This window comes from Homo sapiens, chromosome 10 (assembly GCF_000001405.40).
Source record: "Homo sapiens chromosome 10, GRCh38.p14 Primary Assembly".
NCBI lineage: Eukaryota > Metazoa > Chordata > Mammalia > Primates > Hominidae > Homo > Homo sapiens.
Genome location: NC_000010.11, coordinates 104,531,016 through 104,544,310, shown reverse-complemented (window position 1 = coordinate 104,544,310; position 13,295 = coordinate 104,531,016). Strand labels below are relative to the sequence as shown.

At 45.9% G+C, this 13,295-nt stretch overlaps 2 annotated features.

The window, feature by feature from the left end:
* Positions 9,812 to 10,324: an enhancer, noted in NCBI's record as "NANOG-H3K4me1 hESC enhancer chr10:106293745-106294257 (GRCh37/hg19 assembly coordinates)". NCBI's record gives its function as "activates a minimal SCP1, AML or CMV promoter by ChIP-STARR-seq in naive H9 embryonic stem cells {active_cell/tissue: H9 hESC(naive)}" and the evidence as "EXISTENCE:reporter gene assay evidence [ECO:0000049][PMID:30033119]".
* Positions 10,325 to 10,837: an enhancer, noted in NCBI's record as "NANOG-H3K4me1 hESC enhancer chr10:106293232-106293744 (GRCh37/hg19 assembly coordinates)". NCBI's record gives its function as "activates a minimal SCP1, AML or CMV promoter by ChIP-STARR-seq in naive H9 embryonic stem cells {active_cell/tissue: H9 hESC(naive)}" and the evidence as "EXISTENCE:reporter gene assay evidence [ECO:0000049][PMID:30033119]".

The window sequence follows — 13,295 nt, the reverse complement described above, 5'->3', positions numbered from 1 at the left end:
GCCAAATAAACCTTTTTTCTTTATAAATTACCCAGCTTCAGGCATTCCTCTACAGCAGCATGAAATAGACTAGCACAGAGGAGGTTTGTCATTCATCTGTTCTTCCTGCCACCCCAAGTAGCATCCACACAGTCTCCCTGGAGCTTTGAAAGGGGTCTGCATAAATCCACACCCAACTACATTCCCACCAGTATGGTTTGGATCTGTGTCCACATTCAAATCTCTTGCTTAATTGTAATCCCCAGTGTCGGAGTTGGGGCCTGGTGGGAAGTGACTAAATCAAGGGGGAAGATTTCCCCTTTGATGCTGCTCTCATGATAGTACGTGAGTGCTTACGAGATCTGCTTGTTTAAAAGTGTATGGCACCTCCCTGTTCTCTCTTTCTCCTGCTCTGGCCATGTAAGATGTGCCTGCTTCCTCTTCACCTTCCATCATGATTGTAAGTTTCCTGAGGTCTCCCCAGAAGCAGAAGTCACCATGCTTCCTGTACAGCCTGCAGAACCACGAGCCAATTAAACATCTTTTCTTCATAAATTACTCAGTCTCAGGTATTTATTTATAACAATGCAAGAACGGACTAATACACCTACCTTTCAGGTTCCGGTCCCATCACTTGTTTTTCCTTGAAGTAACCACAAGTGACTCTCTGTTTCCTACATCCCATACAGCCCTCTCTGAAACAGGGAGTTAGCACTAGAGAGCTGGTTATTATCTGTTTTTCCTTCTAAATCCACTCTTCATCCTCTTCCACCCTGCTTGATATGCTCAGAGGGCTGGCATCCATGGACTGCATCAATAAGGCTCCCTCGCTGGGTAAGGTTCAGCCAACAGGAGGATCCAACAGATAAAAGGCTTGGAGGAGAGAAAGGTCAGGGTCTTCCTCCCCCTAGTTTTCTCCCAGCCCAGCCACAGGTTGGCAATAGCTGTGTTACTCTACTGCAACCCACAGATGGTGCTGGGAAGCCCTTCTGAGCTTGAGCTTTCTTGTGGTGTGGTGAGTGCTTCATGTCTTGGTGCGGAGCATATGAAATAAGAGTTTCCTTCTGTTACTAATCTGGAGGTGCCTCACCATCCCTTGCTTGTTCCCTTATACTTCCCTACATGCTGGTGAACTGTTCTCTTATTAAACTCTCCTCCCTTTTGAGTGTGCCACCTGCTTCCTACCTGGCCCCTGGGCAGCTTCCCCATTCTCTGTAGCCAGCAAAGGGCCCTGGGCCCTCCAACAGAGAGCAAGAGCTGTCTTCTAACACTACCTCTGCTGCCAGGAGTCTCTCCCCGGCAGAGACCTGCATACCTGGAAACACCTCTCTCTGGCAAGCTTTCCAGCTTTAACCCAGGGAGACTTTTAACAGGCACAGCAATGCTTCTTGTTTCTTTCATCCACTAGCCGAGTAGAGGTGGTAAACAAGCCCAGCTTACCCCCTTGCAGTTCATTTGAACAATGGAATCAAGGCAAGATGAAGGAGATGGAAATCTCCATGCCCCCTCATGGGCTAGAAACAATCAGAGGGATGCTGTGAAGCCAGCCACTGTAGCCAAATATCTCCCATAGCAAATCTCTGCTACGGTGCCTCTCTCCCAGCAGGTGTCAATCAGACAAGGAATAGGGAAAGAACAGATGCAAACAAGCCAACTAAAAATACATCCGTTGCAGACTTCATTAATGTGCAGGAACATTCTCAGTCCCTGGGGCAATGATGGGACCTCAAGATCTCAAGGGGCAGAAGAGGAATGGCAACTAAAGTAAGACCCAATATAAAAAACAACATCAATAATGACAAAAATACATATCCAATAGGAAAAAAACAACCGTTCATGCTCAAATCCTACGGACTATTGACATCTAATTATTAATCAACCTGAGCAAGAATGAACTATGGCCTCAGAATCAGCTTCCTTCCACCATCGAGAGCCCATCATTAAATCTATGTATGTCATTAATCCCATAAACTCCTGGAGTTGTGGAAAAGGGGCCTCATCTCAGGCCTGCTCCTAGACGCAGCAGGAGGCTCCAGCCAAGTGGGGCCTGAAGAGTAGAGTGGTAACAGACAAATTAATCATCACCCCACCACACCCCAGGCAGCAAGAAAGTGAGGGTGCTATAGACCCAGGTTTAGAGCATCTCAGAGGGCAAAGGATCAGTTTTCACCTCCATGAAGGCATGTGTTACCTTCGTATTGGTGAGAACACTGCTTGTATATTGCAGAAGTCCAGCTTAAACTGGCTTAAGCAGAGAAGGGAACTGATGAGCTCATTTACTGAAAATTTCAGAGGTAGTTCAGAATTGGCTGGATCTAGGTACTCAATGATGTCACCAGGAATCTCCAGCCCTCTGCCTCTGAGATCTGCTTTCCTTGGTGGTGACTTGATTCTTCCCGTTCGTGGGTGGCCCCCAGTGGCTCCTGCTGACACCTACTATTAAACAACTCCAAAGGAAAGTACGTGTGGCTTTCCAGAGAGTCCCCACCCAAGTCTCAGATTTGAGTTTCAATGGCATGCTTTGTGTTTCCCACCATCTGTAATGCATTTCTGTGGCCAGGAGAATGAAATGCTCTGCTTGGCCAGGTTGGGGTCATATGCTCATCCCTGTGTCTTGGAGCTAGAGTAGTCTGGCACATAGAAGGAACTCACTAAATGTATGTTGAACGAATGAATGAAAGGCCTGGAGGTGTGAAAGTTCACAGCACATTGGGGACAGCGAGTTGGCTACTGTGGGTGAAAGAATGGGGTTGGAAAGCCAAGAATGAACATACAGTGTCTGATATGGCGGCCACAGGCAAGGCACTTTGCAGGCTACAAGGCACTTTGCCAGGATGCCAAGCTACGAGACATGCAGAGGACCCCGGTATGGGTTATCTGCCTTCTGGAGTTAATAGGAGTCATGGGACAATCGTGTAAATGCTATGTCACAAAGAAAATGTGATGAGCCTTACAGGAGCAGAGAGGATGTCATCCTACTCTGGAAGGGAGTAGTGGGTCAGAGGCCTTTTAGTAGAGGAGTCAGTGAATCTATTTGGAGTTGGTGGGCAGGAATAGTTTGGACAGGTGAAAACAAAGATGAACTCTTTAGGCAGAAGGGGTGCCCAAGGAGATGGGGCAGGCAGAAAAAAGAGGTCCAGGGAGGACAGGCCCATAATGGGGGCCATAGGAAGTAGGGGTACAAGTGGGGTCGGTAGCCTCCCAAAGGAAGGCTGAGGCTTCTGAGCCAAGGATTTAGACCCTTATTCGGTTGGCCGTGAGGTGTTGCTGTCTCTTCTATTTATTTATTTATTTATTTATTTATTTATTTATTTATTTATTTATTGAGATGAGGTCTCACTCTGTTGCCCAGGCTGGAGTGCAGTGGCATGCTCTCGGCTCACTACAACCTCTGCCTCTCAGGTTCAAGCGATTCTCCTACCTTAGCCTCCTGAGTAGCTGGGATTACAGGTGCTCACCCCTATGCCCAGCTAACTTTTTATATTTTTGGTAGAGATGGGGTTTAACCATGTTGGCCAGGCTGGTCTCAAACTCCTGACCTCAAGTGATCTGCCCACCTCAGCCTCCCAAAGTGCTGGGATTACAGGCGTGAGCCACCGCACCCCACCTGCTGTCTATTCTTAAGCAGTACATCTCAGTCACTATCCTATAAATAGTGCTCACTTTTTCTTGGGCATATCAATTGAAATTCACATTTTTCAGAAATCAACAAGGTCTCTCCTTCTGACAGGCTGCCTTCCAGTCTGTTGTCCTAGGAGTGGGTGATTCCTCTCTGAAGGGTGACATCTTCAGGCTGTAAATCTCCCTCCCTGACTTCCAGCCATTTCCAGCAACAACAGCATAGCTCATCTTAAGGAGCCAGGTTTCTCAGCATGCATATAAACTCAACTTTAAACTGATTATTGAAATCTACAAGCTGTTAATCCAGTGGCTGCCAGCAAAGCCTCATTCTTTCTACTGTTTAATCTTCGCTAACAATGACACAATTCGTATGTTCTCTCAGCTGCTCTCAACAACCTCCCATGCCTTCCCGAGACCTCTCCTGCAGTCACTCCACAAAACAAATATGTTCACATACTCCATACCCCCTTCATCTTGCTCTTTTTTCTATCTCTATCTCTAACTGAGGCTTATCTGAAAATATCTGAAATTACTGGTCAAAGCTAGTAAGGAAATCACTTGACTGGGGTTAATTCTGTGCAAGGGAAATGTGTGGATCTTCAAGGACTTTTATCAGGGTTTGCCCACCTTCTGGGGGCGTGGCCCCATAGGCCAGGAAAACTGCTTGGTTTGATGAGTGACCGTGTCTGCCCATCTCTATTGGGCCCCTCATCAGGGATGAGCCTTGTCAAGGGCTTCTTTGGGGTAGCCTAGGAGCATCCCATCGAGCTGGTGTTGCCCCATCTCCCTCAATAAGCAGCTTCACTGCTGGGCTGGGGCTTACAGATGCCAGGGCCAGGCACTCACCTGGCTGAGTCAGAGCTGCACCCCTGTCCCCTTGCCAGACGAACCACCAGCACAGACCAGGGGAGACCAGGACTCCACATCACTGTAGTCATTGTCTTTCTATCTGCCACTTATTCACAGTCAACCATGAGGCTGAAATGGCATCTGAGATCTTACCCAGGCTGGTCCCATTCACCTCTCCAGGCTTCTCTGCCTTCCATCTTGTCACATACCCTTGCATCCAGCCAAACTGAACTGCCCCCTATTCCCCTAAATATCCCCTACCCTTTCTTTGCCCCTCTGACACTCCCATCAAACCACTCACCCTCCGGAGCTCACATGAGAATTATTTCTCTGAACTCCTGGGGCACTGTTTGTACACTTGTAAACACTCAACCTGTTCTATTTTGTATTACAAGAGCAAAGCATAGAGTCGAGAGCTTTGCTGTGTGACCCTGGGAAGTGACTTAACCTCTCTGTGACTTGATTTCTTAATTCATAAAGTAGGAATAATATTTCTTCCTCAAAGAGTTGTTGAGGAAAATAAACAGGCCAATATCTTAAAGGGTGCATGGCAAGATCTGGCGAATAGGGGCTGTTCAAAAATTACCATTAGTATTATAACTGTTAGGGTGGTTGTTACTGCAATTACATTTTCCTCCTACTATGCTGTGAGTTCCTTCAGGACAGGACAATGTCTTGTTCATATGTGAATCCCTCTCATTGCCCAATACATTGTGGCATATGGCACGTGCTTATTAGTTGATAAATGAATGAACAATCGAGGAAAAGAACAAACTGCATAGTCTTGTACTCTTGTATTAATTAATATTTTAATTGCTTTCCCTATTGGCCCCTCCTTAAACACACACACACACACACACACACACACACACACACACACACAGAGGCTGGGCACATCAGACATTTTAGTTATAGAGAGGGGGCAGGAATAAGCCTTCTTGGAGGCTGGGAAAGGCTGCTTTCCTGGGTATCATGTACCCTCGCTGCACAGAGCACTAAAGCAGGTTCTTCTCATCAATGCATTTATTTCACTCATTTTTCAGTCAACAAACCTTTGCTTAGCACTTATTCTGTGCTAGGCCCTGGGCTAAGTGACAAGCCCAGGTAGGCATAGTTCTGCCCCTGTAGACCTTGAATCTCGTAGAGAAGACAGGTTTTCATGAATATTAACTCAATTGACTGTAAAATTAAAACAGTGATATAGGCCATGAGGATTGCATTTAATAGGAAGGGCTGTGAAGACAGAGCTCTTGCATGATTTTCCAGAGCCCGGACTCTAGACAGGGCTGAAGACTCCCCCATGCCTATCCTTCTGGGTTAAGGTATTGCCCTACACAGGCCTCTGGAAGGAAAAGACATTAAGTAACCACTGACACCAGTGTTACTAATATCTAGGCACCTTTTTCACCTTCTTCCTGGTTAGAGAGGGTTGAGGGGAAGGGGAAGAAGGTCCAGGGGACCTAGAAATAAAGTTATCACATGGAATAGAATGGGGAGAACTGGCCAAGAAATGGGAGCTGAACCCAGAGGTAAGTCTCCTTCTGGGAGTGGGGTAAGTGTGGGCACCTTGTTTCTTCCTTTATCAAATTTGATCCTTATTTCCTCAACACTGGGGCTGTCTTCACTCAGACAGTGCCCAGAATTAATTCTTAGCCAATTTCAAAACATTATGAGGTGACATCTGCTTACACCACTTGATCAAGCCATGGCCTATGGATCATTGCAGACTGATGATATCCAGAGCCCTGTGCCTGACCCTGGGTGAGAGGGAGGGGCATGACATGGAAGAGGTATTCTTGACTTAAGAGAGCCTCTACCTCATGGGAGAGACAGAATTAATGTCCACGAACCTCCCAGATGACAAATTACAGCCAAGTGCATGTGCCAGTTGTCTTAAGAAAGTTTCCCAGAAACTGACACATGAACCTCTGCTTACATCTCATCTTCCAGATATAAATGCATCCACTTTGATTGGGTCAGCTGGGCTAGTGCAGGCAGTGGGTGGGAATGGTCCCAGAAGGCTTCATAAAACTCCTAGACTGGGCACACACGTATATGTGTGTGCATGCGTGAGGGTGTGTGTATGTCTCTAGACTGGCCTTTGGCAAGTGCCAAGTCGCACATTTGCCCCTGCTTCCTTTTGAGGGCCCTCTCCCCACCTTTCCTCAGCACCACCTTCTCCTCACCTTGCTTCCTCTGCTACCCACCCACAACACACATAAGAACCTGTGGCACCTCCTGCCCCAGAGAGAGCCAACTCATTTATGTTATTTTTTTAACTGATAAAAATCATATCTATGCATTCTGTACAACATGATGTTTTGAAATAGGTCCACACTGTGGAAGGGCTAAATCAAGTTAATAAACATATGCATGACTCCAATACTGATCCTTTTTTTGTAGTGAGAATATTTAAAATCTACCGTTTTAGTAGTTTTCAAGTGTACATTACATTGTTATTAGCTGCAGTCACCACGATGTACAATAGGTCTCTTGAACATATCCTTCTTCCTGTCTCACTGAAATTTTGTGTCCTTTGACCATTATCTCCCTAATCCTCCCATCCCAGCCTTACTGCATGATCTTCCTTATATGTGGGATCTAAAAAAGTCAAATTCATGGAAACAGAGAGATAGCCAAGTTGTGATGATAAAAGGCAGGACCCCTTAGCAGGAGCATTTGCCTCTGCATTTTGAAAAGGGGCAATACTTAATCCCTAGGACTCGGTCTCCAAGGGGGAGTGAGGGGGTGGGAGGACAGGTTTTCTAACAGCTTTTAAAAGTCTCCTCTAAGTCATGCACAGTGCTGGGCAAATCACGTGCATTATCTCAGTCAATCTTCATAACAATTCTACAAAAGACACATTTCCCAGCCTCATTTATCAGAAAAGGAAACTGAGGCATGGAGACAGGAACAGGCCTTACCAAAGGTAACCCAGGGCTTGCCCAAGGTAACTCACTCCAGTGGTGGAGTAGGGTCTGCCATTTTTTTTACTACCGTATACCTCAATGAGGACAAAATGTTAGGGTTGGGACAATACGGGGAGACATGCTCCTTGGAGACTCTCCAGACACAGTACTCAGAACCTAATCCTCCAGCCGCGCTGATCCCACATCTGATTCCTACAGCTGGACTGACCCCACATCTGTCAGCCTTCTAGAGCCCAGCTCCTTCTAGAGCCCTCTCCAGACCCCCTCCTGCCCACCACCAATTCTCTCTTCTCTCCCTGGTTCTGGATCCTCCCTCCCTCCCTCTCTCCTCTCCTCCTTCACTTTGGGAAGTAATTAGCAAGGCGGGATTATTCTGCCCTTGCAGTCACAGCCCCCAAAACGAGGCGCCTGTTTTGGGCCATCCCTGGGAAGTTTTTAAGAAGCAATCTAACATAAATAGAATGTACTTCCCCCACCTCAGATTTCAGCAATGGAGTCATTTCTCCAGGAAATAATGGTAATGAAAAATGGCCTCCAATTATTCAAAGATTGTTTCTATGAATAATTCAGGAGCAGCAGAGCTGAAGCTCCATACCTGCTTGTCACAGCACCCCACACCCCTCCATCTCACTCTCTCCTTTGCTCCTGGGTGCTTCCTAACTCCCCAGAAATGACTGTAACTCCCTGGCACTAAGTCATCTATAAACTCTGTCACTTAGAAATGCCAGTTAAGATAAGCATCAATGTTTGTAGACCCATGCTGTGTGCCCAAAACTGGGCTAAACAGGCTGCGTGAATTCCCTTGTTTAATTCCACTGTACTCTTGTGAGCTAGGACGTGGTGTCATCCCCGTTTTACAGATGAAAATGCAGAGGTTGACAGACAGTAAGAAATTTGCCCAAAGTCATATGCCTAGAAGTAACAGAGCAAGGATTCAAACTCAGGAGATGCCAGAGCCTGGCCTTTTATACTGCTGCACCCTGCAGCTGACGTCCATGTACACAGAGGAGAGGGGGTCACTTCCGGGGCTGCATCACCAATAAGCCCTCTTCTTGCCCCAACTCACAACTGTGAAACAGGATAGCTCTTTTGGTTCACTCAGCGCTTTAGGGCTTGCACAAAATCATCTCTCTTCCTGGAATGTTACTGCCCCCAGTTTATAGCATTGGCCTCTTGCAAGACCTGCTGGTGGATGGAAACCTGGGAAAACTTCTTGAGTTTTTCAAGCTCTCTGGTGTCTGGGGCCTTGCTTCATCTCAAGTCCAGCTCCTCAGAGGAAAATTTACAAAGTTTTCTGTGTAGGTTTAAGCAGCCTCAGCACTCACAATCCACTCCTTCATTTTCCTATCGCCAAAACAACCTACATCCCATGGTAACTTATAGAGAGATGGGAGGAGGCACTTAGAAGAGGACTTTGCATTTCCTGACCTAAGATGTTGTTCTTGGGTCTGCCCTGATTCTTCACCTTTTCCATGTGAGATGGGTACCTTGGTGCCCTGCTCTACACTCAGCATAGGGAAGATGCCCAACTCAGCCAAGCACCCCCGTAAAGGACCAAACCTGAACACCAAACTGGGATAAGAAAGATGGCACAGTTGACTCTGTCTCTGCCCGTCATGAAGAAGCTTTAATCAGCTCCAAGGCAGAGACTGACACTGGACTCCTGGCATTCATTGCCTGCTTCTTCCTCAGAAATAGAACCCTGAGGCCAAGCACAATGGCTCATGCCTATAATCCCAACACTTTGGGAAGCCAAGGCAGGTAGATCACCTGAGGTCAGGAGTTCGAGACCATCCTGGCCAACATGATGAAACCCCATCTCCACTAAAAATACAAAAATTAGCTGGGCATGGTGGTGCGTGCCTGTAATCCCAGCTACTCTGAAGGCTGAGGCAGGAGAATTGCTTGAATCCAGGAAGCAGAGGTTGCAGTGAGCCAAAATCAAGCCATTGCACTCCAGCCTGGGCAACAAGAGTGAAATTCTGAAATAATTCCGAAATTCCAAAATTCCAAAAGAAGGAAGGAAGGAAGGAAGGAAGGAAGGAAGGAAGGAAGGAAGGAAAGAAGGAAGGAAGGAAGGAAGGAAGGAAGGAAGGAAGGAAGGAAAAAGAAAGAAAGAAAGAAAGAAAGAAAGAAAGAAAGAAAGAAAGAAAGAAAGATAGAAAGAAAGAAAGAAAGAAAGAAAGAAAGAAAGAAAGAAAGAAAGAAAGAAAGAAAGAAAGAAAGAAGAGGAAGGGAAGGGAGGAGGGAGAGGGGGAGGCTGAGGCAGGAGAATTGCTTGAATCCAGGAAGCAGAGGTTGCAGTGAGCTGAGATCATGCCATTGCACTCCAGCCTGGGCAACAAGAGCGAAATTCTGAAATAATTCCAAAAGTCTGAAATTCCGAAAGAAGGAAGGAAGGAAAAAGAGAGAAAGAAAGAAAGAGGGAAGGAAGGTAAGGAAGGAAGGAGAGAGAGAGAGAAAGAAAGGAGAGAAAGACAAGAGAAAAGAAAGAAAGAAAGAAAGAAAGAAAGAAAGAAAGAAAGAAAGAAAGAAAGAAAGAAAGAAAGAAAGAGGGGAGGAGCCAAGATGGCCGAATAGGAACAGCTCCGGTCTACAGCTCCCAGCGTGAGTGACGCAGAAGACGGGTGATTTCCGCATTTCCATCTGAGGTACCGGGTTCATCTCACTAGGGAGTGCCAGACAGTGGGCGCAGGTCAGTGGGTGCATGCACCATGCATGAGCCGAAGCAGGGCGAGCCATTGCCTCACTCGGGAAGCGCAAGGGGTCAGGGAGTTCCCTTTCCTAGTCAAAGAAAGGGGTGATGGACGGCACCTGGAAAATCGGGTCACTCCCACCCGAATACTGCGCTTTTCCGACGGGCTTAAAAAACGGCGCACCATGAGATTATATCCCGCACCTGGCTCGGAGGGGCCTACACCCACGGAGTCTCGCTGATTGCTAGCACAGCAGTCTGAGATCACACTGCAAGGCGGCAGCGAGGCTGGGGGAGGGGCGCCCGCCATTGCCCAGGCTTGCTTAGGTAAACAAAGCAGCTGGGAAGCTCGAACTGGGTGGAGCCCACCACAGCTCAAGGAGGCCTGCCTGCCTCTGTAGGCTCCACCTCTGGGGGCAGGGCACAGACAAACAAAAAGACAGCAGTAACCTCTGCAGACTTAAATGTCCCTGTCTGACAGCTTTGAAGAGAGCAGTGGTTCTCCCAGTATGCAGCTGGAGATCTGGAAGGGGCAGACTGCCTCCTCAAGTGGGTGCCTGACCCCTGACCCCCGACCCCCGACCCCCGAGCAGCCTAACTGGGAGGCACCCCCCAACAGGGGCACACTGACACCTCACATGGCAGGGTACTCCAACAGACGTGCAGCTGAGGATCCTGTCTGTTAGAAGGAAAACTAACAAACAGAAAGGACAACCACACCAAAAACCCATCTGTACATCACCATCATCAAAGACCAAAAGTAGATAAAACCACGAAGATGGGGAAAAAACAGAACAGAGAAACTGGAAACTCTAAAAAGCAGAGCGCCTCTCCTCCTCCAAAGGAACGCAGTTCCTCACCAGCAATGGAACAAAGCTGGACGGAGAATGACTTTGATGAGCTGAGAGAAGAAGGCTTCAGACGATCAAATTACTCTGAGCTACGGGAGGACATTCAAACCAAAGGCAAAGAAGTTGAAAACTTTGAAAAAAATTTAGAAGAATGTATAACTAGAATAACCAATACAGAGAAGTGCTTAAAGGAGCTGATGGAGCTAAAAGCCAAGGCTTGAGAACTACGTGAAGAATGCAGAAGCCTCAGGAGCTGAAGCGATCAACTGGAAGAAAGGGTATCAGTGATGGAAGATGAAATGAATGAAATGAAGCGAGAAGGGAAGTTTAGAGAAAAAAGAATAAAAAGAAATGAGCAAAGCCTCCAAGAAATATGGGACTATGTGAAAAGACCAAATCTACGTCTGATTGGTGTACCTGAAAGTGATGGGGAGAATGGAACCAAGTTGGAAAACACTCTGCGGGATATTATCCAGGAGAATTTCCCCAATCTAGCAAGGTAGGCCAACGTTCAGATTCAGGAAATACAGAGAACGCCACAAAGGTACTCCTCGAGAAGAGCAACTCCAAGACACATAATTGTCAGATTCACCAAAGTTGAAATGAAGGAAAAAATGTTAAGGGCAGCTAGAGAGAAAGGTCGGGTTACCCTCAAAGGGAAGCCCATCAGACTAACAGCTGATCTCTCGACAGAAACCCTACAAGCCAGAAGAGAGTGGGGGCCAATATTCAACATTCTTAAAGAAAAGAATTTTCAACCCAGAATTTCATATCCAGCCAAACTAAGCTTCATAAGTGAAGGAGAAATAAAATACTTTACAGACAAGCAAATGCTGAAAGATTTTGTCACCACCAGGCCTACCCTAAAAGAGCTCCTGAAGGAAGCGCTAAACATGGAAAGGAACAACCGGTACCAGCCGCTGCAAAATCATGCCAAAATGTAAAGACCATCGAGACTAGGAAGAAACTGCATCAAATAACGAGCAAAATCACCAGCTAACATCATAATGACAGGATCAAATTCACACATAACAATATTAACTTTAAATGTAAATGGACTAAATGCTCCAATTAAAAGACACAGACTGGCAAATTGGATAAAGAGTCAAGAACCATCAGTGTGCTGTATTCAGGAAACCCATCTCACGTGCAGAGACACACATAGGCTCAAAATAAAAGGATGGAGGAAAATCTACCAAGCAAATGGAAAACAAAAAAAGGTAGGGGTTGCAATCCTAGTCTCTGATAAAACAGACTTTAAACCAACAAAGATCAAAAGAGACAAAGAAGGCCATTACATAATGGTAAAGGGATCAATTCAACAAGAAGAGCTAACTATCCTATATATATATGCACCCAACACAGGAGCACCCAGATTCATAAAGCAGGTCCTGAGTGACCTACAAAGAGACTTAGACTCCCACACATTAATAATGGGAGACTTTAACACCCCACTGTCAACATTAGACAGATCAACGAGACAGAAAGTCAACAAGGATACCCAGGAATTGAACTCAGTTCTGCACCAAGCGGACCTAATAGACATCTACAGAACTCTCCACCCCAAATCAACAGAATATACATTTTTTTCAGCACCACACCACACCTATTCCAAAATTGACCACATACTTGGAAGTAAAGCTCTCCTCAGCAAATGTAAAAGAACAGAAATTATAACAAACTATCTCTCAGACCACAGTGCAATCAAACTAGAACTCAGGATTAAGAATCTCACTCAAAACCGCTCAACTACATGGAAACTGAACCACCTGCTCCTGAATGAATACTGGGTACATAACGAAATGAAGGCAGAAATAAAGATGTTCTTTGAATCCAACGAGAACAAAGACACAACATACCAGAATCTCTGGGACGCATTCAAAGCAGTGTGTAGAGGGAAATTTATAGCACTAAATGCCCACAAGAGAAAGCAGGAAAGATCCAAAATTGACACCCTAACATCACAATTAAAAGAACTAGAAAAGCAAGAGCAAACACATTCAAAAGCTAGCAGAAGGCAAGAAATAACTAAGAGCAGAACTGAAGGAAATAGAGACACAAAAAACCCTTCAAAAAATTAATGAATCCAGGAGCTGGTTTTTTGAAAGGATCAACAAAATTGACAGACCGCTAGCAAGACTAATAAAGAAAAAAAGAGAGAAGAATCAAATAGACGCAATAAAAAATGATAAAGGGGATATCACCACCGATCCCACAGAAATACAAACTACCGTCAGAGAATACTACAAACACCTCTACACAAATAAACTAGAAAATCTAGAAGAAATGGATAAATTCCTCGAAACATACACTCTCCCAAGACTAAACCAGGAAGAAGTTGAATCTCTGAGTAGACCAATAACAGGCTCT